We start from the raw sequence: 26,490 nt of genomic DNA, 5'->3' as shown, positions 1-26,490 counted from the left end.
AATAGAATTCAAATTGGCTATTAAGTTATGCTCATGTAGACAGTGGCAATATGTTAGACAACTGTGAAGAGAGAAGGAAGCATTGCCCGACCGTCTGTGGCCCCAAACAGGCCACTTCCATATGCTCCCCAACGCCTGGCAGCTTTGCTGCCCAAGTCCCCACTCCTTCTCAGCGACATCCATATGGTATCCACAGATTGAGAGCTTGCCTTTCTTTCTAAGACAGGCACAATCTCACTTGGTATTCTATTGCGCTGAATATTTGTGAACAGTGATTCATATTTTTATTGCAAAAATAAGATTATGGATTCTAATTCTTCCACTTTCATTATAAGAGACACTTATGGATCCTGACAGTCTTATATTTTAATTTTGTAGAAAGAAATGAGATGCTTGCATTTTAATCTAATATTAAAATGGAGCAGGCTACCATCCATGCCTCCATTCTATCTGGGCACACGCTGAGTGCTGGGCGTTAAGTGTGAAGAGCAGCTCCCTCAAGCATCTCATCATGTAGTGATGAGCCAGGAAACAGGGATGGGAAACACAACTGGGTGTGAGTGTCCTTGTTTCCATGTGCTATTCTCACATCTAAACCGTAGGGAGTTGAATATCATGGAAATGTCTGATGTGTAATGAGCACAAATGTGAGCCAAGGAAATAAAAATCGATTTCAGTATTTCTTGAGGATGTGTTTATTTTTATGTTGCAAATTTTAGGCCTTATACCTTCATTTCTTTGCTCATTGATCATTTGTTATTTTCAGACTTTTGAAACCCTGGGTATCACCTGTTCCATTTGGAGAAACTTAATAGGCTGTGGTCATTATTTTCATTTCAGCAGACAGACTACCCATACTCTAAATTATAAATAAAACAATGAGGGAACAGATCACTTTCTAAAAGGAAAGCTTGCTTTCTTAGTAAGAGATAAATACCACTGGGACCAGAGATTAAAAACAAATGTGTGTTCTGCGACTGAAATCATTTCATTTAAAGAAATCTCTCACTTTCTACAAAGCGTATTTAAAAAACAGAATGTCAAAAGTGATATGTTGACAAATATTGACTATTTATTAAGAAAAGAAATAAAATCCTAGCGAAATGTCCCACACGAACCAAACTGACCTGATAGCAAAGTGAACATACTTATAAACAGCGGTAAAAGAAAAAAAATGAAGTATGATATTTTCAGAATTGAGGAAAAGGAAAGCAAATATTAGCACCTTCTCTTAATCAACCTTCCTGAGTTGAGTGTTAATTTTGCATTTCTTTCTCTCTCAGAGAATTCAACCAGATCTGGATTTGAGATTACTTGTGACAAAGCTTCTCTGGGGAAACTTAAGAGACTGTTCTCCCCATTCCCTGTGAGGGGACAGCTTCTCCAAGAGTCTGAGAAATATTTCTTTTTTGGGGGTTTACTTTCCTTTTCTTCTATTTTTTAACTTTTATTTTGGGCTCAGGGGTACATGTGTCTCAGATGTTTGGTGTACAGATTATTTTTTCACCCAGGTACTAAGCATAGTACCTGATAAGTAGATTTTTGATCCTCTCCCTTCTCCCAGCCTCCAGCCTCAAGTAATCCCTGAAGCCTGTTGTTCTCCTCTTTGTGTCTATGTGTTCTTGTTTATTCCCACTTATAAGTGAGAACATGTGGGATTTGTTTTTCTGTTCCTGTGTTAGCTTGCTTAGGATAAAAGCTCTATCCATGTTGCTGCAAAAGCCATGATCCCATTCTTTTTCATGGCTGCATAGTATTCCATGGTATGTATGTACTACATTTTTTATCCAGTCTACCACTGATGGGCATTTAGGTTGATTTCATGTCTTTGCTATTGTGAAGAGTGTTGTCATGAATATACACGTGCACGTGTCTTTATGGTAAAATGATTTATATTACTTCAGGTATATACCCAATAAGGAGATTGCTGGGTCAAATGGTAATTCTGTTTTAAGTTCTTTGAGGAATCACCACACTGCTTTCCACAATGGCTGAACTAATTTACACTCCCCCACCAGCAGTGTATAGCATTCTCTTTTCTCTGCAACCTTGTCAGCATCTGTTATTTTTTTACTTTTTAGCAATAGCCATTCTGAGTGGTGTGAGATGGTATCTCATTGTGGATTTGATTTGCATTTCTGTAATGATCAGTGATGTGAAGCATTTTTTCACATGCTTGTTGGTCATTTGTGTCTTATTTTGAAAAATGTCTGTTCATGTCATTTGCCCACTTTTGAATGGGGTTGTTTGGTTTTTGCCCGTAAATTCCTTTAAGTTCCTTATAGATTCTGAATTTTAGGCCTTTGTCAGATGCATAGTTTGGAAATATTTCCTCCCATTCTGTAGGTTATCTGTTTACTCTGTCAATGGTTTCCTTTGCTGTGCAGAAGCTCTTTAGTTTAATTAGGTCCCATTTGTAAATTTTTGTTTTTGTTGCAACATCTTTTGGTGTCTTTGTCATGAAATCTTTGCTAGATCCTATGTCCAGAATGGTATTTCTGAGGTTATCTTCCAGGGTTTTTGTAGTTTTAGGTTTTACATTTAAGTATTTTATCCATCTTGAGTTGATTTTTGTGCACAGTATAAGGAAGGGGTCCAGTTTGAATCTTCTGCGTATGGCTAGCCAGCTATCCCACCACCATTTATTGAATAGGGAGTCCTTTCCCTATTGCTTTTGTCAAGTTTGTCAAAGATCAGATGGTTGTAGGTGTGCAGCCTTATTTCTGGGCTGTCTATTCTGTTCCATTGGTTTATGTGTCTGTTTTTATACCAGTACATGCTGTTTTGGTTACTGTAGCCTTGTCATATAGTTTGAAGTTGGGTAATGTGTTCCCTCCAGCTTTGTTCTTTTTGCTTAAGATTTCCTTGGCTATTCAGTCTCTTTTTGGTTCCACATAAATTTTAAAATTGTTTTTTCTAATTCTATGAAGAATGTCATTGGTAGATTAATTGGAATAGCATCGAATCTGTAAATTGCTTTGGGCAGTATGGCCATTTTAACAATATTGATTCTTCTATCCATAAGCATGAAATGTTTTTCCATTTGTTTGTGTCATCTCTGATTTCTTTGAGCAGTCTTTTGCAATTCTCACTGCAGAGATCTTTCACCTCCATGGTTAGCTATACCCTAGGTATTTATTCTTTCTGTGACTATTGTGAATGGGATTGTGTTCTTGATTTGGCTCTCAGCTTGGCTGTTGTTGGTGTACAGGAAAGCTAGTGGTTTTTGTACATTGATTTTATATCCTGAAACTTTGCTAAAGTTGCTTATCAGATCAAGGAGGTCTTGAGCAGAGGCTATGGGGTTTTGTAGGTATAGAATCATATTGTCTGCAAATAGGGATAGTTTGACTTCCTCTCTTTTTCTTTCTTTCTCATGCCCGATTGCCCTGGTCAGGACTTCCAGAAACATTTCTTATGCACCTCCCATTGCCTCTCCATGGGGCATGGCTTAATGAGTCTCTCTTTTCCTCCATTCTTAGCTCCTGACAATCTGCAGGGGTGCTCTGACCATGGGCTCTTCTTATTAGTGTGTTCTACCTCTCCTCGTTTCTAGATCTTTCATGCATTACAGCCCCGGGTTTCCAGGGTCCCACTTGTGATTGGTGGGGGTAGAGGAGAAGAGAAAGAGGACAAGGATAACAGATGGGATGGGTGTTTCATCTCTGTCAGTGTTTCCCATATGCATATAAAAACACACAGAAAAATATTAAACCAAGGGGAAAAGGTTAGAATTTTTGTATTGGCACATATAATCTAGAGAAAATTGAATGCAGTAATAACATAAAGGTGGATTCAAATTTATAAGGAAAGGACTTGAAGCCCCAATAGTCTGTCAGTTGTCTATTAAAATATATAAATACTTCTAGAGGAAAATTACCTTGAGGCCAAGCTAATGTTAACAATCCATGTCACACATTTTTATAAAGATCTGCAAACACTATTACCTGTGTTCATGAATGGCTATAAATGAAATGACAAAGATTTAGCCCTTTAGGTAAGAAACTCCCAAACCCTATCACAGGATTCAGGTTGGATATCACTTCATATTTTTAGTTCATTTAAAATTAGTCATAATTTTCTTAGAAATCACTATGTATCATGAAAATAGGCAATTAGTTCCGACTATTTGCATGTGCAGTCTATTTTCACCTTACAGGATCCTAATTAAAACATGATCACACCTCACTCAGGTATGAAATGCCGCCAACAACTATACCCCAATATGATTTGTGGAACATTGTGGAAAATGTGTACTGAATCATTTGCAGAAACCTCTATTAGCTAGAAACAGCTTTTACATGCATCAGCTCAATGACAGGTAAGTTCTCTTTATTTTATTGTAAAAGTAATTAGCCTTTTGAAACTACAAGACCAGAACTGCATTGGTATACTGCCTGTTGCCCTTTCTGATGAGCTGGTGACACCATGTATTTTAATAAGCTCAGAATTTGCTATTATTGTCCTATGGATTCAGAAAGAGCGGATTATCTTCTCCTTCAGGGCCCTGCCAGCGTGATGCGCTGAAGCAGTTGTTCTATGGGCTAATGAGCTGAACGAGGAAAACTCATCACCAACCCAAAACCCGAGGCAAACAAAGTTTCTTTCCTTAACAAAATAAATCTTCAGAAGTGATGCATGTGATCCACAGTGAGGGTGTTTCCTTCTTCTACAATGTTTGGTGGGTTTTTTTGTTTGTTTGTTTGTTTTTGAGACGGAATCTCGCTCTGTCGCCCGGCTGGAGTGCAATGGCGCAATCTCGGCTCACTGCAACCTCCGCCTCCTGGGCTCAAGTGATTCTCCTGCCTCAGCCTCCTGAGTAGCTGGGACCACAGGCACATGTCACCACACCCGGCTAAATTTTGTATTTTTGGTAGAGATGGGGTTTCACCACGTTGGCCAGGCTGGTCTTGAACTCCTGACCTCAGGTGATCTGCCTGCCTCAACCTCTCAAAGTGCTGGGATTACTGCTGGGATTACAGGTGTGAGCCGCCGTGCCTGGTCCCATCTACAGTGCTTTTGAGTGAGGATAATTGTGGGTCAGCAGGCCAGGAAGATGAGGAACGGCCCGATGTACCTATTCCCTGACTAGCAGCTGTGGCAAGCAGGCAACCGAAGGTGCTTCCCCCACAGCCCCTTCCGACTTTGTGGCTCCTCTAAAACTTGTTTTTGGAGAACGCACTCCACAGTCTATCAATCAGACTAGAGATGAAAAGGCACCCAGAGATTGAATTCTCACAGTCTGACTTGGGATCCTGGCCTCCCGACCACTCCTTCAATGTTCTGTATTTATAACTCCATGTGAAAGTACTTGCTGAAGCCCAGATAATCTAGCTTTTTATCAGTTATTCATGAGATTTAGGCAAAATTGCATATTTATTACTTTTTTTTGGTATGGATTGCTTAGATAAATTGCAAGCAAGGAATCAATCCAAGATCTATTTGCTAGAATCCTCTCTAGGTTAGCTTAGCTTAGTAGTTCTCATTTCAATATGAAAACCATCGTTACAACTACTTCTCTTTGAACTCTGAGAACAGAGAATCCTGAATATTTGACAGTTTGTGGCAATTTATGTAGCTTGTTCTATTACTGCTGGCAGAATGTGGGGAAATATGGGAAAATCTGAATCTATAATATTTATACACACATATACACGCACACATACATATGTATGCTCATACATGCTCACATACACATATATACACATATATGCACCCCCACATACACACACACATGCACATAAACACATACAAACAGTATATACATATATATATATTTATTTCATAGCAGCAAAGGCAGAAATGGCAGAGCTTTGGGACTGGAGAAGGACTCAGAGATAGTCACTGCTAGAGACTTTCCACTCAGAGAGGATCTTATGTTTCCTCCCTCAGTTACTAATCAACTCCCACCCCTGACCAGTGGACACGGAAGCACCAGTTTCCCTCCATTTTCCCCTCTGCCCCCACCTTCTCCCAGCAGCCGGCCGGGACAGGACGGCTTCCCCTGCTTCCCAGAACCCTGCTGCCCTCCTGCTGCCCCAACGGGCCTGCTCAGGTCCCCGCGTTTGCTCGCACTGCTTCCTCTGCCCTTTGCTCATTACTCTAACCCTGCCTGCCCTTCAAAGTCTGGCTCTAAGCCCACCTCTGGGAAGCCCCCCAGGGAGGCCCGCTCACTCCTCTGAACTTCCCCCAAATCTAACGTCGAGGTTGGCCACCACCGTGTGAGGAAGGCAGGTCTCTCTCCCCCATTAGACTGGATCCATTTGCAATGGACCCGGGGCTCCCACATCTGACTGTGTCAATGGCCCTCGAGGTCACCTAACATCCCCATGTCACCCCAGCGGAGAGAGAACCGTCACCATGCTCTTACCATGTACCTAATTGCGCAGGTGAGGTGGTGGCCTGAGGCCAAGCACCTCAGTGACCAAGCGCAGGTTCTTACGCTGCATCCTGCCCCCTCCTTGGGTGGGGGCCCATGACTTGTTCCTTTCTGCCTCCCCAGACACCTGTAGCTGCCAGTAAATATTTATTGATTTTAACTGGGGCAGGAGGTGGATGAGTAGGGGTTAGGGAGCTGGGTGGTCTTTGCCCAGCCCCACCTCATGCCCAAAGGTGAGGAGACTGTCCCCACACAGCCCGATTCCTGAGCAGGCTCCCCAGGGGCCGAGGGAGGCTCTTCTGCTTTGTAGCTCAGGGAACACCCGAATCTCTTTATGACTCTGTGTCTTAAAGAAATTGGGACATAAATGTATACCTGAAGACAGCAGGATTACGAAAAATCCACTTGTGAACTGATAAATGTTGTAGTCTTCCTGGTTCCTATTACAATTTATAACTACTATTAAGAATTGATATAATATATGTACTCTAATGAAGTGGAAGTGGGTTTGTGACACTTTCTGTAAATTAAAGGTTTTCACCAATTCCGCTTAAGTATTCACTTTCTTCTTGTAATACTGCTTTAAAAATATTTTTTCCCTATGTTTCCGTCTCGTTAGCTTTCCTTATACTTGTTTGACACATTACAAGTTAAGAAATAATAAACATCACATTTGAAAAACGTGAACAGAGCACAGGAAACCGTGGCCATAGGAGGCTGAGAAATGTGAAGAGACCTGAACTGCTGAGAGGCAGGACCCATGTTCTGCGGATCCCACCCAGTGCCTGGGGCCTGGGGCCTGGGGCCTGATCCGGCCCAGTGCCTGGGTTCTGGGGCCCAGGAATGCCGGTGGTGCAGGGCGCTTCCCAAGCACGCTGACGTGCAGAAGTAGGGTGACCAAGCATCCTGCCTCAGCCTGGAATGTTCTGTGTCCTGGGAAACTTCTCAGTGCTGAGCAAACTGGGGCAATTGGTCACCCTATTAAAAAGGTATCTAAAACAAGGATTGTAAAAGAATGCTTCAACTCTTGAGGGTTTTTAGTATTTCTTGGTTTGTCAATGATCATATCAGGTGTCTTCACTTCCAACGTTAAAAGGTTAAAATTTGACCTTCCTTGGAGAAAAGACTCTCGGTGCAGTCCTGTCAATACATCTTGCATGCTGCTCACGAAATTCAATCCTCTCCCCTCTCCCACTCATGGCTGTGCGTTGTTTGGAAAGTATGCATGAACTGGGAAGTATGCGACACGTGCCCACGTTCATACCCTTGGCGTTTAGACTCCAAGGTTAGTACTGTTGCCTTTGCGCGAGGTCACGCAAATGGTCTAGATCATGGAGTAGAACATCCTGTAGACATTGGGACAAGTGTGCTGTGTGTGTGCACATATATATAAGCCCACACTGGGTGGTCCCATCCTCAGGAGGTGCCAATGTCCCAGTTCCTGATTTTGTGATGCAAGAGTCCCAGGGGACTAAAAGACCTAGGACATTTCCTTTTCTATATTAGAAAAAAAAGTTGCCTTTTTTTCTGTATTTTTAATAAAAAATATTTGTAGGCTCAGACTGGCAGTACATAAAGAGGACTAAAAGATTCCTCTGGTTGCCAGTCTTTATCAAAGCAAATTCCTTCACTTTTTGCCCATCCAAGTACTATATCTCTGATCACATTTTAAAATTAAAAAGTGAGCAGAGTCACTTTTTAGGGTCAAATGTTTTGTATTCTTCGGCAAGTCTGCAGAAAGATAAATACACTATAGTGCCATTTAATGATGTTTAAAATGTCCAAGACCTTCCTCTAGGCAGTGATAGAGATATATGTTACATATAATACAAATATAACCCTCACAGTATATACAAATATGTATTTGTGTTTGTAGCTATCTATGTATATAGACACGTAGATACATATCTGTACACATACACAAACACAGACACACAACAAACAAAAGAACCACACTGAATTGTGGTTGCCTCTGGGGCTAAGTTAAAGAATGAGTTCTGCGAGGAGTTCAAAGGAAGACAGCTCTGCCCCAGGCATCCTTCTCAGTGGAGTTTCAGTCTGGCCATTCTCTATCCCCACCTCCACCATTTACTCCTCCAGGGAAGTATTAGGTGCCTGAGAGGCGGCCAAGCTTGGCAGTTAAGGGTGAGGCCTCCTGGGCTGCACTGCCTGAGTTTGAATCTGGGATCAGCTCTTTCCTGCCTGTGTGATCAAGGCCTAGGTCCTTGCCTGCTCTGTGGCTGGGTTTCCTCCCCAGGCAAACGGGATGATAATAGTCCCTGGGTTATAGGGTTGTCATGAGCCTTGAAGGAATGAATAGACACAAAGCACTACTTTTCACTTGGAACAGCGGCTGACACAAACCCTGGAGGAGCCTCTGTCCTAGCTGAAGGCCCTCTGGTGAAAGTGGATTAGAATCTCTAGTTTCTTATGAATTAGCTCAAGCTGCAAGAATCAGCCTGCAATTTAGTTGAGGGCAGGAAACATTTTATCATTCTTATTCTTTAAGTACTCAGAGCTTCATTGAGTACATTGAACATCATGGGTGTTCATCTATTTCTTTATTCCGTACATGATCATGTGAAAGGAAAATAAATCTTGGGGCCCCCAAATCACTAAGCTCAAGGGAAAAGTCAAGCTGGGAACGGCTTAGGGCCAACCTGCCTCCCATTCTAGTCAAAGTGACCCTCTGCTCACTGGCATAGGTGCATATCTGATTGCCTCCTTTGGAGAGGCTCATCAGAAACTCAGAAGAATGTAACCTTTCATTTCATCTCCTGTGGCCTGGAAGCCCCTCCCTGTTTCGAGTTTTCCTGCCTTTGCTTCAAGTTGTCCTGCCTTTTCAGACCAAACCAGTGTACTTCTCACATGTACTGACTGATGTCTCGTGTCTCCCTAAAACATACATAAAACTAAGCTGTGCCCCAACCGCCTTGGGCACACGTCGTCACAACTTCCTGAGGCTGTGTCATGGGCGTGTCCTCAACCTTGGCAAAAGAAACTTTCTAAATTAACTGAGACCTGTCTCAGATTTTCTGGGTTCACGATCATTAAGCCCTTATTATTATCAAACACCGGGGCAGATGCTGGGACCTCATTAATGGGCAAGGCAACACACTTTCTACATGTAGCAAAACAGGAACACAGATCCTTGGTGCCAGACAACCTCGGTGCCCATCCGATCCACCCGTTCTCACTGTGTGACCCTGGGCAAATTAACATCTCTGGGCCTCACTTTCATCATTTGTAAAGTGAGAACAATGATACCATCCACTTCACACAACTGTAAATCACACACACACATGTAAAGTGCTGAGAGCAAGTGCCTGATGCATAAGCAGTATGGAGATGGTGCTATGATTTCCTCATTTATCTCACAATCTAGGTATTTGATGGTGTTTTTTGAACAAATGATAAACAAATAATCAAACTCTGAATATTTTTTAACTTACTGAGCTATCTTGACTCATTATATTAGCAAGAAAAGAGAAGTAAAATTCTCATAATCAAAACAGTTGATGCAGACTATATTAAAAATCTGTGGTCACTTTAGTGAATAACTAGTTCCAGTCGTTTGGTTAATGCATGTCCAAGGCTAGACTGAAATGCCTACTTGAAAAAGGAAAGTATGTGAGTGAATCAAAGTTTTTACTCTCACTCCAATTTTCCTCAAGACATCAGCACAGATTAGCGGGGACCTGGGGCTCACAGATAAACACGTATCTAGAAACCTCTCTTTGCATCAGTGATGATGAAGTCATTATATCCCTATGTACTGCCTTGTAAGTTTCAAGTGGTTTACATCACAATTTTTGTACTTTTTGTTTTGTGCTCCTGACATGGACAGGGATGCTATCCTTTCTACTTTCTACTGGGATGTGGCCAGTTCTGTTCCTTTGAAAGATAAGATAACCCCTGCTCTGAATTGCTCCCTTGTCAATTCCCTTAAAATGGAAGGTAAAGAGAGAACATTTAACATAAGAATAGAAAATAGCCGGCGGGCTCAGTGGCTCAGGCCTGTAAGCCCAAAACTTTGGGAGGCCGAGGCAGGCGGATCATGAGGTCAGAAGATCGAGACAATCCTGGCTAACACGGTGAAACCCCGTCTCTACTAAAAACACGAAAAAAAAAAATTAGCCGGGCGTGGTGGCGGGCGCCTGTAGTCCCAGATACTTGGGAGGCTGAGGCAGGAGAATGGCGTGAACCCGGGAGGCAGAGCTTGCAGTGAGCCGAGATCGCGCCACTGCACTCCAGCCTGGGCAACAGAGTGAGACCCTGTCTCACAAAAAAAAAAAAAAAAAAAAAAAAAGAAAAGAAAAGAAAATAGCCACCAGTTTCATAAGGACAGTAGGTTAATGGGACTGTACTTTTATGACACACCTCTAGAGCAAGCATTTACAGATGGTATTTCTTTTTTCTTCCTTTATAGCTAAAGGTGATTTCAAAATAGATGTGTACTGGAGCAACTGAAAGCACCAACAATATCCACAGAGATGAGCTGTGATTACTACTAACGGAGAACCAGTTATGACTGTATTCAAAGGGAAATGCTCTTACTGTGGAAAAAATCAGGTATTGACACATTCTACTAATATATGTATTTTTTCCTGGCAGAAAAAAGTTATCTTGAAAATTTTAGGTTCAAGTTTTTAAAAGTTTAGTAAAATGACCACGAGTTCTTCTTACTTTTTTTCTGCTTCAGTTTTCTCCCTCCTTCATATATTTATTTATATTTTCTATCATTTGCCCATTTACCAAGCTGTCTGTCCGCCTCTATCTATCTATCTATCTATCTATCTATCTATCTATCTATCTATCTGTCTAGTCTGTCTGTCTAGTCTGTCTACATGTCTATCCATCTATCTACCTGTCTATTTGTCTGTCTATTTGTCTATCTGTCTAGTCTTTCTTTCTACCTGTTTATCTATTTGTCTGTCTGTCTGTCTAGTCTTTCTGTCTGTCTGTCTGTCTCTCTAGTCTTTCTTTAGCTCTGTCTTCTGAACATCTGCTCACCCTGGGTCTTGTGTCATGTGCACATGTATCTGTTTATTTCTTGGCCTCTCTTCCTTCTTTGATTGCAGAATATGATAAGTGACTCTTTCAAGAAACCATCACTGAAGTCTCACTGAATTCTGTCAACAGTTCCAACGACGACAACAGGTAACATTTATTGAACCATCACTAAGTGCCAAGCAGATTGTTATGTAATTTATTTACACTGTGTTGCCTAATGTTGCCTCAAACCCTGCTGAAGTAGCTGTCACTCTTCCCATTTGACATCTCTAAGGTGCAGAGCAGCAACTCCCCAATGCTGCACAGCAAGGTGAGGCCACAGGTAAGGCTCCCAGTAGCCCTAGGACAGGAGAGGTCTTGGAGCGGATACATGTTGGCGAAAAGAGTGAAAGGTCACTTTAACATTTGGGTCGTGGTTGACCAGGGGAGGGACGACGGTGTCATTAGCAGGGACAACAGAGCTGTTGGGCGCTGTCCGTGAGCAGCAATCATAGTAGCTCTCATTGATTAGAGTCTCCATGTGCTTATCATGTGCAGGGCACGGTTCTACTTCCCTAACTCTAGATGATCAGGGAACGTTCTCGCGGAAACGCTGTGCGAGAAATGCTGATTGGGATCTTGGACCTGTTGCTTTTGAGGTGGGCAGGAGATGAGCTGGAGGAAACTGAAGGAAACTGAGCCAGCGACTGGAGGGACGGGGTCTGGGAGGGAACCAGCTCGTAGGGGGTCTCTGGGATCCCTGCTTCTCCAGAAAGAGCAAGAGGGAGCTGCGCCCTGCTGGAGAGCGGGAGAATGGAGGCGAGAATCAGGGAGGGAGGAATGAGTGAGAGAGATCCCGAGCTGGGAGGAGATGCTGGGGAGCCAGCGGAGACACCCAGGGGCGGGCGCGGGAAGGGGCGCAGGAGGAAGCCAGAGCTCTCCAGGGGCCATTTTAGAATGGCCGTGGGAACTGAAACTTTGAAAGCAGCGTGACTGTGTGTCTTTAGGCGCAGAATCTCCATTTCCCGGCAGGGCAGGGAACGCAGCACAGGGAGGCTGAGAGGGGGGTCGGGCGGCCTCCACTGCCACCTCCTCAGCCGCCGAGGCGCAGGGAGCCCTGGGGGAGGTTAGACCCCTTCCTACCTGCACTCCCTTATCACAAAATGTCTTTAAAGCACACTTCTGGGAAGCGGGGGAACGATTTCGCCGCTGGAAAAGGGAGTCACACCACATTGAAAACACTGGGCTCTAGGGCCATGTGGAAAGGGAAGAGGCCTCCAACACTCCTCTCCATTGGACGCCTGTCTTCATGGGTTTCACGGTCAAATGTATGATGTAAGGAGAACCCACATGAGGAGATAGTCTTGGAAGTGTGGTCAGGGCGGCACCTGTGGTTAAACTTCTCTTTGGCAGCACTCTCTTTGGATGCAACAGCTTCAAGACTAGATGGAGATTTAAGGAATTATAAATGAAATAAACAATTAGCCAACATTATTAGTGGTTCACGATAATGAAATGTGAGAACAATCAAATGCCAATCATCAAAGCGTGGCTGAGAGGCCAAGGCATCCCCGATGCTTTCTCTGTTATGGGGGGATAAAGAGGCTCCTTCAATTGCTACCTTTGGAAACATCACCTCCTTTTGACATGGTGAGAGTCGGGGTCAAGAGAAGTGGACTCCCTCTACCATCGACTCCAGATCAAGGCTCAAGTTGAAGAGGACCAGTCCCAGGAGGGAGGAGAGGCTCACTGTTCAGCAAGCCCGTGGACACCGATGTAGAGGGGAGGCACTTGAAGAGCCCCAAATATCTGATGCCTGCAAAGTGCACTGATGACCAAAAGGGAGGGAGGGGCGTGGGGAAGGAGGGGAGAGTGAAGGAGGTGGGAAGGGAGAAGAGCAGAGGGAAGAACAGCAGGCGTGGGGTTGGGGGGCATTGCACTCCAGTCTCAACAGGCAGCCCCATTCCTGTGGCCCAGTAGGCCTGCATGTTCTAATCTCCAGGACTGATTTTACTTGCTCCAAAATACTTGCACATTGATGCCTTCACAAATAGGCTATTTTGATGAGTGAAGCAACCACCGCTTACAAAAAAGCTGTCCTCTTCAGTGTAGGTATGCCACTATGACTACAAACACCTCGGACACCCCGGCTGCACCCTATCTAGTCCCAGGAATGACTGGCTGTCAGGGTCCCCGTCAAGTCCATTCTGTGCTTGATGGCAGGTGGCCTGTGGCTTGTGCAGCCCAGAGCCAGACACCACCAGCCTGGAGGCGCCGGGGTTTCCTGCCTTGGGAAAGGCAGACAGATGGAAATAACAAGATGAAGAAAGAAAGATATGAAAGGAGGGAAGGAGGGTGACAGGGAGACAGGAGAAAAGACAGGGAGGGAGGGAGAGAGGGGGAGAGAACAAAAGAGAGACATCAAGAGGAAGAACTGAAACTAAGTTCTGGAACTTCAAAAGTAAAAACAGAACCCCAGGAACACTGACTATGGAATCTCTCCTCTGTAGAAAGGAGCACTGAGTCTATGAGCTACAGGGGAATGTGTAATCGGGCGCAGAACCTCCATCACAGATGGCCTCATCTGTTGTCAAATCTGATTAGTATTAAGAAACAGTCTTACTTGAGGTCAGGAGTTTGAGACCAGCCTGGCCAACATGGCAAAACCCTGTCTCTACTAAAAATACAAAAATTAACCGGCTTTGGTGGCCCACACCTGTAGTCCCAGCTACTCGGGAGGCTGAGGCAGGAGAATCGCTTGAACCCAGGAGGTGGAGGTTGCACTGAGCCGAGATCGCGGCACTGCACTCCAGCCTGGGTGACAGAATGAGACTCCATCTCAGGAAAAAAAAAAAAAAAAAGAAACAAAAAGAAACAGTTTCCTAGTCCAACATGGATTTGAAAAAGTCTCTGATTCTATGTTTTCTCCAATATGTTTAAAATGTGTACTACATTTAAAATACATTTTTATTTGAATTACTTTTAGGAATACTTTCAAACTATGACGGGCTGGTACAATTTCTAACTTTGAATATTGAAACAAAAATTATCTCTGAGGAAAATTTGTCGAGTTCAATATAACAAAATAAAAATATTTTTTATTTAATAAAAATAAAGAAAGAAAGAAATCCCATGTGTTCACGTCTTCATTTAGTGTTTCCCTCCCAGTTCTCAGGAGGCCACCATGCCGCCCTGTTCCGCACATAGCACTGGGTTCTTAAAAATGGTCAGTCTCGGTATTTCTGGCCGGGCAGCCCCTGGGAACAATCGCCTTGTTGATAGTTTTCCACACTTAATCAGAGAATTTAAAGCAATACAAATGGAATAGTGGTGAAAGTACCAACTCTGACCTTAACTCTTCATACATTGTCTTAAGTTTAAATTCAGCCCTCAAAAACAAATTTAAAACAAAATGAAAGTTTTTCCTCTGGATATTTGAAAGACTGACACCCATTTTCACTCTCTCAATCTAAGTGAAGCCTTATGGAAATGATTAGCACACAAGGCATATTTCTATAGTTGGATATTTATAAAATATAACGTGGCACATTAAAATTTTTCTAGACTCTATCACCACCTTAAAAATGAATATTTAAAAATTACCCTGCAGTTACATGCCAGTGTGCTTGAAATTTATTTTTATAAATATTCATTTGAATTATAGGCTTCAAATGTCTGTATCAAGCAATAAATTGTCATTTTAAAACCAGGAACAACAAAGAGTGACTGTTTATTGGGTTTAAAAAAGGCTTTTATCTCTCACAGACTTTGGGATCCGGTTTAAGGGTTGTAGAATGGTAAGAAGTATCGGGCATTTGGAAAAAATGGAGATCCAAGGAGTGAAGAAGTGTGTCAGATCTTTTTAAGCAGGAAATCGAGTGATGGCTGCCTACTGCAGGACGTCACAGATGTCTGCACCTGTCCAACCCTTGACAGATGCTCCCAACACACCCAACCTGGGAGCCAGTCAGCCTAACCATCTTCCCTGCAAATACACACAGTACAAAAATAAAATGTTCTCTCATCAAGTCTAAATAGAGATCCACATAAGCCATCCATGTCAGAGAACTCTAGCTTTGTACGCTATGATAAAAAAAAGTATTTAAAATGAAATAAACACCTTAATTCATGCTCATCTTGAGACACACTTACCAAAGTTTAAATGTTTAAAAATAAGGCAATAGACATTTTTATGGTTGATAACAAACTACAAATTTGTCTGGGGGAAAAAATCATTAAATGTTTGACAAAAGAGCTGTGATAAGAGATAAAGAACACAGTATTCACTGTCTAAAGAACCAGAGGGGAAAATACAGCTTGTCCCCGAGCCCACATTTTCAACTATGTGTGCTATGATTACAGTTCTAAACAATGGATACTGTGTCAGCACAGAGAAAAACAAACAATAGATCTTTTTCTGAAAGTATCTGTAGGAAGACCATACAAAACAGTCAACAAGGGAACTGAAATAATCCTTGCATTCTTTGCAAAAATAATACTTTAAGGTTCCTTTGCAAGAATGTTGGTATTCTTTTCCACTGTGCATTTCATTTTCCTTCATTCACTACAGATTTTCTCCCAACCTGCACCTGGTTTGAGCAGCAGTCAGCTGGCTTCTGGGGACTTTCCCTATTTCATTCCCTCTAACCCCCAGAGACTCTGGAGGCAGCTGCACAACTGTGCTTTCTTTAGTTATAAAAGCTAGCTTGTGACATCCTTTGTGTGATTCAGTTAAAAACTGAATTAACTGAAATCAATTCAACAACAACTGCCCCGGTGCTTCCCCGTAGATAGCACCGCTGGTCAGTTCGGGAGGGGATGGGACATTGAGGAGCAGGACAGTCTTCAGGAAGCTTACAGTCTGCTTTGGGGTGTGAGACACCAGGCGGGGTGTGGCTTTCATTGGGAGGGACTCCTATGAAGTGTTACAGGGTTTAGAGAAAAAAGGTGGCTGGAAATGGAAGATGAGAGGATCCTGGACAACCTGGGGGCAGAGGGACGTCATGGCTCTGAGTGGGAGTGGAGAAGATGGCATTTTGGTGGATGGGTGGAGGAAGAGCATAGGCACAGATGGCCACGTGGAGTGTGGTCCACAGATAAGTCACCTGGTGGAGTGCAGCCACAGTGCCTGAGTCAGGAGGTCTCAGCTCGTGAGTGTATCTTAGCTCAACGATACACTCAAGATCCTTGAGCTAGGAGAAACCCTATAAACCACCTAAGTGGATGCCTTCTCTTTAGAGAGGAGAGAGCTTAGGTCACAGAGAGGCTGTGACCTCCCCCAAGGGTGGTGCAGAAAGCGGCCATAGCAGTGAAGGGGAAAGGCCTCGTGGCGTTGGGGGGCCACTCGCCATAAAGGTGTGGGGGTCAGAGAAAGGGAAGATCAGAGGACACTGGAACTTGACACTGAGCTGAGGAATGAGACTGGGTGGGATCATTCATAGAAATTTCATCTGAAGCCTGGGAAGGAAGTAGGTTTGGGGGGTGGCGGGAAGGGATGATGGTGAAGTTAGTTTTTTAATTATTGCTTTTATTTATGTATTTATTGTTTGCAATTTTGAGGTCTAGTGTCCATTTAAGTGGAATGGCTTAGGAAAAGGTGCTCATATTTTAAGCTGTTCTCCTGGACTAAGGGTGAATACATAGTCCCTCTTTTAACTTGAATCTAAGTAACAGGTTTTTTGTTTGTTTGTTTTGTTTTTCAAATGATAATATGTAATATTTTAAATTCAGTATTCTAATAAATGCTAAATAAGGGATTTCTGATTTCAGTTGTTTCAGGAACACAGTCATCCCTCAGAAATGGATTGGGTGACAAGTGGTCTGCATGCTGCACACGGGCACTGGGTGAGTGTGCTTGGAGCTGTTTGTCAGGACATCATCAGCAATAGACAGAACACGAGGGAAGTAATCAGTGAAAGAAGACGAAGTTGTTAAGTTGTTTCTGACTTTATCTTTGGAGCGGGCTCACAGAACATTTGAGTGGGCTTTTTGGTATAAGAGAAAGAGCCCTACACTTTTGCCCAATTCTAGTTCTAGGCTCCAAAACAAATTTTACTAGGGTTCTGAACTGACGGGTTAGACTGTTTTTGTTAACTTTTATTCTTATAAATATTTTTGGCCATTGCAGTCCAATCAGAAGAAAAGTAGAAAGCAGGTCATTTTTACCTTCTCTAAGAAAAGAAATCCAAAATTTACAGGAAAGCCCATTCTTGAAAGTCCCTTGTGCTGCTAGGCAGGGCCTTTCGATTATTTTCAGACAGATGTTGAACCTTCAGAATTTCCTCCGTGCATCGGGGTCACTGACTACTTGTGTCTAATGCAACTCTGCACTAACTAGATTGTGCGCCGACCTCTATTTTCACTTTCAAACCTCATATTCCAACGTTGCTCAAGGTTGACTGTCACTGACTGGGCTTTTCTTTACGACTGTACTTATGAAGAACAAATGTACTTGTAAATGTTTGGGGACTTCAAATTTAGTTTACAAATGTGTAGTCCTCATTGAAGATTCGATTTGTATTATATTTAGGCAAGTTTTCTGGCTCTTAATGGGGTCCTAATGAGTCACCGATGGTAAGGCTTCAGATTCAGACCTTCCTGTTAGGATGGGGATGAGCTGTTTGTCCTCATTTGCCAATTATTTGGAAGAGAAAACCAATGTAATGCAATCGGAATCCAGTTGTATTATTAAGACCCGCATTTGAAACCTAGTTTCTTCTATCAGAAGTAATTTTTCTGATTTTTGGATTATGTACTTCTCCTTCATATAAATGAATGTTACTGCTTTTGTGGTGTTACCAGACCTAGCTTATAGAAATAAATGACAGGCCACCTGGGGGTCTGCCCGTGCAAGCATGAACTAAGCAGCAACAAGCAGTATGCCCTGCGGTGACCAGTGTGTCAGCATTCACATAAGCCCGGGACAGTGAATGCGGGCCCTTGTCAGTCACGGGCATCAGGCGCATGGCACTGGGCACAGCTGACTGCCTGTTGATGCTGATGGCTGGATGGCTGCATTTAAGTACACTTTCACAAAACTCATTTGTATCTCTTCCCGAAGAAACCTAAATGGAATTAATTTGTTGGAGGGCTGCAATGTAAAATTTTTAAATAGAGAACAAAATGGAGTATGTTGCTGTTTCATGGAAGAGAACACGGGAGAAACTAGCAATCTGTAAGCTAAAAATTGATGGCAGCCCCTGCCACAATGAATAATTGGCAATGCCATTCAGCCTTTAAAGGTATCAGATAATGAATAAGCTGGGCATAAGGCATCTAGTTCCCTTCCATTATTCTCCAATAGGTTATGTAATAAACATCCATCCCTGAAAGATAATTCTGTTTTTCATTGTTCTGTAAGAGAAGATAATTCTCTCTTTTTTTAAATTGTCCTGGAAGACATTCTTAAAACACCTTGTTAACAAACTGGCTAAATGTCCACCTACAGAATTGCACTAACTAAAACCAAAATTAGTCATTAGAGCTGTTATGCATTTGTCAGCAAATCCCTTATGTCCATCTCATGCCTGACTTTTCTTTAACAAAACTATGTTATACGTAGAACTTAGCAGTACAGATGATGCCTGCTTTGATCATACAAACGGGCTTTATACATGAATTGTAATTTCCACTTTAATTTGTTTTTGCGAAATCTTTCCTGCAGTATCATTCCATCTCAGCATTCCCCAACCACCTTTGACATTTTAATCAATTATCCTCTCATGTCTTGTTAGGCCACAAACGTATGGGCTCTATTTTTTCAAAGAAAAGTATGTTGGTCACTTACAAGATGGATCCAAATGTAAAAGATGTTTTTCACGTTCTAGCGTACATTCCTAATTGTTCTTAGTCAATGTCTGCAAATGAATAGTATGTGGAAATATCCTAAGCCCATGCTTGCTTTGTACAAAGGAATCCTTTCCCCTCTACTGAATGCTATCTGGATGGGCAATGACGACAGTTTTTCAGATCTCAAACACAACAGAACGACACACCAAGTCAGACATGAACTAAACTGCAATTGTAACTACTGAGGGAATTTTTATGCAGATTATGTAACAAAAATGAAACTAGACAAAGTGTGAGAAAGGCCACTAAAATAAAACGGTCAGGCCACGCTTTAGAACTGTAGAATCAAAGAGTCTTCACCTTTCTAGGCTGGAGACGACCTTCTCACTCACGGACCAAACCCTTGGTGTGACCTCTATTTCCCAAGAGATGAGCCTTCAGGCCTGAGGATCAGTGGCCTGATTCTTATAAAGGAGACGGTGGACTCACAAAGGCATCACGTCAGTATTTTAACAAGCTCACCTCTAAGAGATGACGTTAGATTTTCTACTGTAGCTTCGGGGGCTTAAATAGACACTCCTTAATTTAGAGTTAGTAAGCTCAATCATTTTGATCAGGTACAGGTTTTTAGCAACAACTGTCATCAAAACAGGTTTTCCAGTAGCAAATGAATTTGATACTGACTAAACATTTGGTAAAAGATGACTATGCACATGCCAAAGAAAAGAGTGACTTGGGAGAGCTTTTTCTATACAAAGAATGGTTGACTTGGGGCTCCTGCCTCCCCGATGTTCTGATGCAAACCAGTCCTGTGTGTGGGGACTCTATTTGCACAGATCACATAGTTCCCTGTAGGAAAAGATACTCATATAAACCCACACAACTCCAACATAGCTCAACAAGTAGAATTTTAAAAACTAATATTGTAAGGGGTGTTTCAAAGAGATATGCTCATTTTGGGACTTTTTAACTCTCCCCTCATGTTTCCTGCCTTGTTGAAGAGTGGACAATTTATTTGGTATTGACTTAGTGTGAGGCATGCCCTAGACCCGAGGAATATAAAGGGGACTGGGAGAAAGCCCGGCCTCCCTGGAGCTCTTCACGTGATGACAGGCGCAGATCAGCGGACAGGCGCGTAACAGGAGGTGCTAAGTGCGCAGGTGGGGTCACGTGCCGCGTCACAGCAGTGCTGGAGGAGAGTCCTGACTCATGGCCTGGGATGCTGGGGTTCCTCCCCAGAGAAGCTCTTTTGGACCTGGGAGAAGGAGTAGGACTTTGATACACCATGGAGGTGAGAATCCACTTTGGGATGGGAAACCCACTGAGTGAGGTAGAAAAGAGGGTGAAGTAGAAAAGGTGGGATTCGGGGCTGGGAAATCCAGCAGGGTCTCTGTGTGCTGCCGATGGGTTTGGATGGTTCTGCAGGTGACGGGGCTGTCAACGTTGCAGCACCATGATGAAGTCTGGGGTGGAAAGCAGATACATTCATGGAGGGGAGGAGCGCGGGCTCTCAGTTGAGAGGCGTTCTCAGCAGTGCTGCAAAGAGATGGGGCCAGTCCTGAGCCACTGGAAAGGCGGGCGGCGAGCACAGAAGCCTTTCACAGGCCACTTGCACAGGCCTGGGTGCACTGACTGGCGTGGGTAGGGTGGGCGAGGGTGGCGTCCAAGGTGACACTGAGGTTCCAGCAGAGGCCGCGAACAGATCAGTCTATGGAGGGATGTTGGGCATACAACGGAGGAGCGGATGTGAGAAGTCAATAATGAGTTCAATTTAGGCCATCCTGAGGTTCAGGTGTTGTATCACATACAGTTGAAACTGTGATTTGGTGTTCAGAGGAAAACAGACTTTGAGAAAAACAGATTTGGGAGCCACTGATAGGGAAGGGAAACGGATGAAATTACCCGGGACCCTGTGGAGCTTGAGGACGGGGGGTGTCTCCCTCCCTGCAGAGCAGGTGCCTGGAGAGGAGACAGAGCCCGTGAAGTGGGGGCAGGAAAGGGCGCTGATGGCGCAGAGCCCGGGGAAAATGTCAAGAGCCCCAGGAGTGGATGCCCCCAAACAACCGTCAAATTGGTCTTGTGTGTGCGGTGAGGGCGACGGGAGGCCGACTAAATACCTCCTGACTGTGCCCCTCAGCGGGTAGGAACAGAAGCACCTCCAGGGAGGGAGCAGAGCGGTGGAGAGGAAATGCATGCTGGGTTGAATGACATCAAACTACTCGGAAGCAAAGGAACAGCCTCATGTTTTAGTCTGTGAGATGGGGCCAGGGAGCGCCTGGTCCGGCAGGAGTGAGAGATGCACACCTGCACGCGACGGCTCCACTGGGCAGGGAGATAGGGTGTGTCCAGGGGAAGAGGCTGCCAGAAGCGGCCAGAGGAATCAAGAGTTCCAACTCTTAGTAAGAATCTAAGTTGGGAGAGATGAGACTGTGGGCACAGCCAGGCAAAACAGGCCTCTCCACCACACTGGCCCCATGCTGAGGACAGAGGTGGCAAGTTTAGAATGACAAGTAGTCTGTGTGTGTGTGTCTGTGTCTGCGTGTGTGTGTGTGTCTGTGTCTGTGTGTGTGTATCTGTGTCTGCCTGTGTGTTGAAGGGGGCACACGAGAGAATTCCCTCAGTAATCTGAGGGTGTCTGAGAGTGGAGACAATGAGAATGTTGCTTCCATTTGCCATTGGACAGCAGCTCTCCAGGCGTGTGCAGCTTTGCAGCCAGCAGGCTATGTTGGGGTCCACCCCTTGGCTCCATTCTTGGGGGAAGGGGGAAATCTGAAAGCCTGCCAGAGAAAAGGCCACACAACGAAGCCCCCTGGCTAGGCAGCCCACTATGCAGATTCTATAAGGGGGCAGTGCCTGCGTCTCAGAGGGTGCCTGCAAGCTGAGCTGAGAGTTAAGTGAAGGCCAGCAGAAAGGCCCAGTCACTGTTTAAAGAAGCCCTGTGACATATAGGCTGGACCAAAACAGAGAGAGGAGGGGGCACGCCCTCCCCCACTCACTGCCTGGGAGTGCTGGGGTGATTTGCTGGGGCTTAGAGTAGATGGGGGTGGGGTCAGCAGTGGGAGAGGAGACACAGGGAAGCAGCTCTGGAGCTCAATGCAGCAAAATTCTCCCGATGCACAACCTGCTGAGAGGCATCCCTACTGGACCCATGAGGCAGTCTGGGGCTCAGGATCAGGACATTACACGGAGATACAGAGAAATAAAGAGCATTTAATTTTGGCCTTCAATTATGCCCCTGTGAAGTTCATGCCCACCACAACTGCAACTAAGCTAAGGTGGTCGCTTGCATTTTGTGTGGGATTAAATTGATGATGCCGCGATTTCCTCCAGCATCTTATCTCAGGCATCGGGAACTAATCTGCAGCAGGGCCACCATTTATATTGTGGGCACTCAATTTGTTCTTTTTCTTAACGAATTCTTTGATTATCTAATACTTTCCTTTAAAATGGCTTATATATTTGCAGTGAAATTTACCAAGTGTTGAAGTAACAGTAACATCTTTAAGTCCTGTTAATTTGAAAAATGTAGATTTCCTATGACAACCCTGAACTGTCCTGGAACTTTACTCATGCTGAACTTCAGGACATCTTATTAAGCTGGATCCATGTTATAGAAATTACGTGGATTGTTTTATCACAATGTCCCCTGATCTTTCTTTCTTAGCTTAATTTTCTACTACAATCCAGGCTTGTTTTGGCCAATTGTTCCCACTTGCTTTTATCGGTAAAAAAACAATTGTGATGACTCCCAGCGTACGGCTGCACTCCTCCTCCATCTTTCTCTCTGTGGTGCCATGTGCAGAGGTGCCTGGAGTGTGGTTAGATCCTTTCCCCATCCCTGGCTACAAACAGCAGTATTTGCTTCTGCCCTATATGGTGGTGTGCTAAATTAATTACTTTTTGGTTTCTGCTAATTAATTGCATTGGTGTTCTGGCTTCAGCCTTCCTGGCCTTGCAGGTATCATGCCATGAAAACAAAACAAAACAAATCTTCCATGATCTGGCCTAATTTCTACTGCTTGTCCCATTTCCATTTGCCCACCAGGTCTCTGAATGTAACCAAATTGTTCTCCTCTTATCATTCCCATTCACTGGTGTACTTGTTTGTGGAGCCTGCAGAACTGCCTTTTTCAAGAATGGTGAGCTTTCTCTCTCTTTTTGTGTCTCTGGGTGCCTGTACGTAGGTTTCTTTATATTAATGCCTGAAGTAGGCAAAGTTGCATTTCTTTATGTTGCTAACCTTTCTCGTGCAGTGCGGCAGGACAGCAAGCAACCCAAGGCTCTGAGTTAACTCCTCTCAAACACAGGGATATTCTTAGGAGCTCATAGCACCTGTACCACTTAGAACAATTAGAGACATTCAAGCTAGTATGGCCAATACGAACATTGTTTATGTGCTTCCTTTTTCGATTTGGGTTTTCGAAGCCCTTAGTAATTCTTAGTGAAATGGAATAAATAGAATTGCACCATTATTTAGGCACCGCTTTTTTCTAGCAATTTCCATTCCAATTGGACACTGAAAATTTCACCATAATTTGTCATGGCCACATGAAATGTTATCAGGGGCAGTGTTACTGAGCTAGTATGGACAGTATAAAGAGATGCACTGTCTTTAATGTAGCATTAAAGAAACAATTTATGTACAGGATTTACCAGACTCTTAAGTAGACCTAAACTGAACAAGAAATGCTACTTTAAAACTTCCAGTTACTCTATGTTCTATTATCTATGCATCCTGCATATTAGCACTGGGGTAAATTTCTTAAGGAACCGAGCACAAGGAGCTAAATTTGCACATTGATTTTTGTCTTTTATCTGCAGCTTAAGGCTAATTTAAAAGGATGGTGAGGAGATTCTATTTTCAACTGGCTGAAGTTCAATAAGAATAAAATAAAACACTGTTGTAGCAAACTCTTTCACAGTGGAAGTTTGGCAAAGCTAAATCTCATTCCTTTCGATGTGCTCCAGTACAGCCAAAATACTGTTCCAGTGAGTAAGACACCCATTAGAGTGATGAGCTTCCTACAGAACAAGAATCTCTCCATATTTTATTTTAAACCAAACCAGTGTTGCATTGCTTTGTATTAAGAATCCAAAAGGAAATATTGTGTAATACAATCAGTAAAAAACCTACAGTTTCGTTACAGTTATATTTTTATCATTGGCCTGCGTTTTCCTAATTTCAGAAGTATACGTGATCATTTTAGATACAGGAAATGACTTCTTTTAATTTTTCTTGTAGTGAAAGTTTTACAATTCTTTAGTCAAGCCTACTGATTAGCTTAAAAACCCTAATAAAAGGAGTGACCACACATACATCTCTGTAGGTATAAATCAAGGTTGGGAAATTTTAAAGGTGCATTTCTTTTTCTTCCTTTTTTTTTTCTTTAACCCTATGTCTTCTAGGCAGCTTGGCCTCTAAATCTGCTTCCCACTGATGGGAAGAGCTGACAGAAGCTTTAGAGAGGCACAGGGTGAGTTCCTAAAACCAGAGTCAACACACACTCTTCATCTGTTTTGTGCTTCACTCCCTGCTCATCTTCCTAAAACACTGAGTTTGGTCATATCATGTCCTACAAGTTGTCAATGATTTCCCATGATCTTGTCTTCAGGATAAAGTTCCTTAGTCAAAAGCAATGAAGACCTGACCTAATCTGTAAGGCAAAATCAACACTTTTTAGCCTGGCCTTCCATGCCCTTCCATGCCCTTCGAGCCCCCAGAGCACCCATGGCAGTCCATCTCTCTCTACTTGTCCAGAGGGACACTCTCTTAGAGCCAGTGGCTCCTACTCACGGTTCCCCGAACACGTCGTGGGAATGTTTGCCTTCATACCTTCCCAGATCATTTTCCTGATCTCAGACACCCTCCGTCCTCATTCATTCACTCTTCAATTGTCCAACAAATATTTGTTGCTCATGCAACCTGGATCACCCACATAGTTTCAAGACTGCATCTTCTAAACTATTTAAATCCTATCCATTCTTCAAGAAATGTTTCATGACGCTTCCTTAACTGCTAAGGACCCGCAGATTCTCTTCCTCTTGGGACTCACACACTGACTCATCTCCCGATCTTTTGGTGCTCAGCAAAGTGGAGGCTTCTGTTTTGGACTTAGAGTCAAGACCATTAAATAAGACTATGCTCTAAAAAGTACACCTCCGTGGCCCGGAACGAGTGAATTAACATCTATGAGTTTCCATTTCCTTGTCTATAAAATTGTGAAATTGCAACTTAAGATTAGTTCTGAAGATTAAATGAGGTAACATAGGTGAAAATGCTACATTTATGTAAGAAATTACTCTTTCATAAGGATGTCAATGTTTAAATACGCATTTTCTCAATTTTGTTAATGAAATACTTTGAAATTCTTTTTTCTAATGAAACCTGCTGAATGTAAAAGAGACCCGTACTAAAGAAAGATACCACATGAAGCACCAAGGGTCTCTTTCTGGATCTATCATGACTCTTGTGACTGTTTCAGCAGCACAGAAATTAAAGGCGATTGTTATTCTGGAGGAAGACAATGAGTCTCATCTATATCTTGTTTGGGTTGATTTTGTAAACAGAACATTCCAAAGATCATTCTTGCCTTTTGTTTCCACTGAGAACTAGAATAAAGTAAAACAAACTATCAATTTAAGGAAAGCCTCGAAATTGTTAGCAATTTCTTCAGTAACTTTCATCCATCAACTGATTTTATGAACACAAATTTGCAGAAATGGGCAAGAAAAACTACTTAACTCATTGGTGGGAAGCAGTGGGCTCTCTAAGGAGGGAGAGATAGCAGTGATTTCACCACCGGACCGTGGAACACAAAGAGCCTGGAAGAGTCTATCACTTTCAACTGAAACCGCAAGAAGAACTAAGTAGGTTAAGCCCTAAGAATGTTCCTAGGTAACCTACTTGAGTTGAAATTTGACTAAGAATCCTTACACCCTACCTAAGAGAGGTAACGCTATTAGGATCGGAAGTGATTGGAAGCTTTGTTTCAGATCTCGTCCAAAAGGGAGAACGGTCAATGACAAAGCTGCTGTGAATAGTATTCTGGGGGCGTGGTGGAACCCCGATTCACTGCTATCTCCCGAATCAGCAACTTGACAGAGCGCGCCTCCCGGGCCTTGGAAGCCTTCCATTCCGAGCTGGCTGGGTGGGACTCAGGTTTTACGGTATGCTGGACTTTTTCCCCGTGAGTTAAAACACATTTATAGTAACTAAGTGGTTAATGATGAGAAAAAACCCCAAACTACTGTACTAATAATCAACCTCTGCTATTTGGTTTGTAAAAAACAAAAATACATCTATAAAAAGGGTTGGCCGGAGATGTGTCTGT

General features: G+C 43.3%; 1 protein-coding gene and 1 long non-coding RNA gene across 7 annotated transcripts in view, besides 1 other annotated feature; one reads left to right on the top strand and one right to left on the bottom strand.

The window, feature by feature from the left end:
- Positions 1 to 26,490, bottom strand: part of PACRG (parkin coregulated) — a 588,369-nt gene that overhangs the window by 107,378 nt on the left and 454,501 nt on the right. Inside the window, exon 5 of one of the 6 annotated variants that reach the window (XM_011535462.4) lies at positions 11,573 to 12,813. The exons of the other annotated variants lie outside the window; for them this stretch is intronic. Coding sequence (XP_011533764.1) covers positions 12,620 to 12,813 — 194 coding nt within the window. The 3' untranslated portion in view covers positions 11,573 to 12,619. Of the gene's footprint in view, positions 1 to 11,572; positions 12,814 to 26,490 lie in introns of those variants that run through there. 6 annotated transcript variants of the gene reach the window in all.
- On the top strand, positions 16,121 to 26,478 carry PACRG-AS3 (PACRG antisense RNA 3). The gene is made up of 4 exons (NR_122120.1): positions 16,121 to 16,242; positions 17,141 to 17,215; positions 23,205 to 23,298; positions 24,566 to 26,478. It is a non-coding gene; the product is annotated as a PACRG antisense RNA 3 (long non-coding RNA).
- Positions 21,419 to 21,989: an enhancer, noted in NCBI's record as "H3K4me1 hESC enhancer chr6:163607166-163607736 (GRCh37/hg19 assembly coordinates)". NCBI's record gives its function as "activates a minimal SCP1, AML or CMV promoter by ChIP-STARR-seq in naive H9 embryonic stem cells {active_cell/tissue: H9 hESC(naive)}" and the evidence as "EXISTENCE:reporter gene assay evidence [ECO:0000049][PMID:30033119]".

The sequence above is a fragment of the Homo sapiens genome, chromosome 6 (genome assembly GCF_000001405.40).
Source record: "Homo sapiens chromosome 6, GRCh38.p14 Primary Assembly".
NCBI classification, from domain to species: domain Eukaryota; kingdom Metazoa; phylum Chordata; class Mammalia; order Primates; family Hominidae; genus Homo; species Homo sapiens.
The sequence above is the reverse complement of the archived record's forward strand: the minus strand, read 5'-3'. Positions and strand labels throughout refer to the sequence as shown.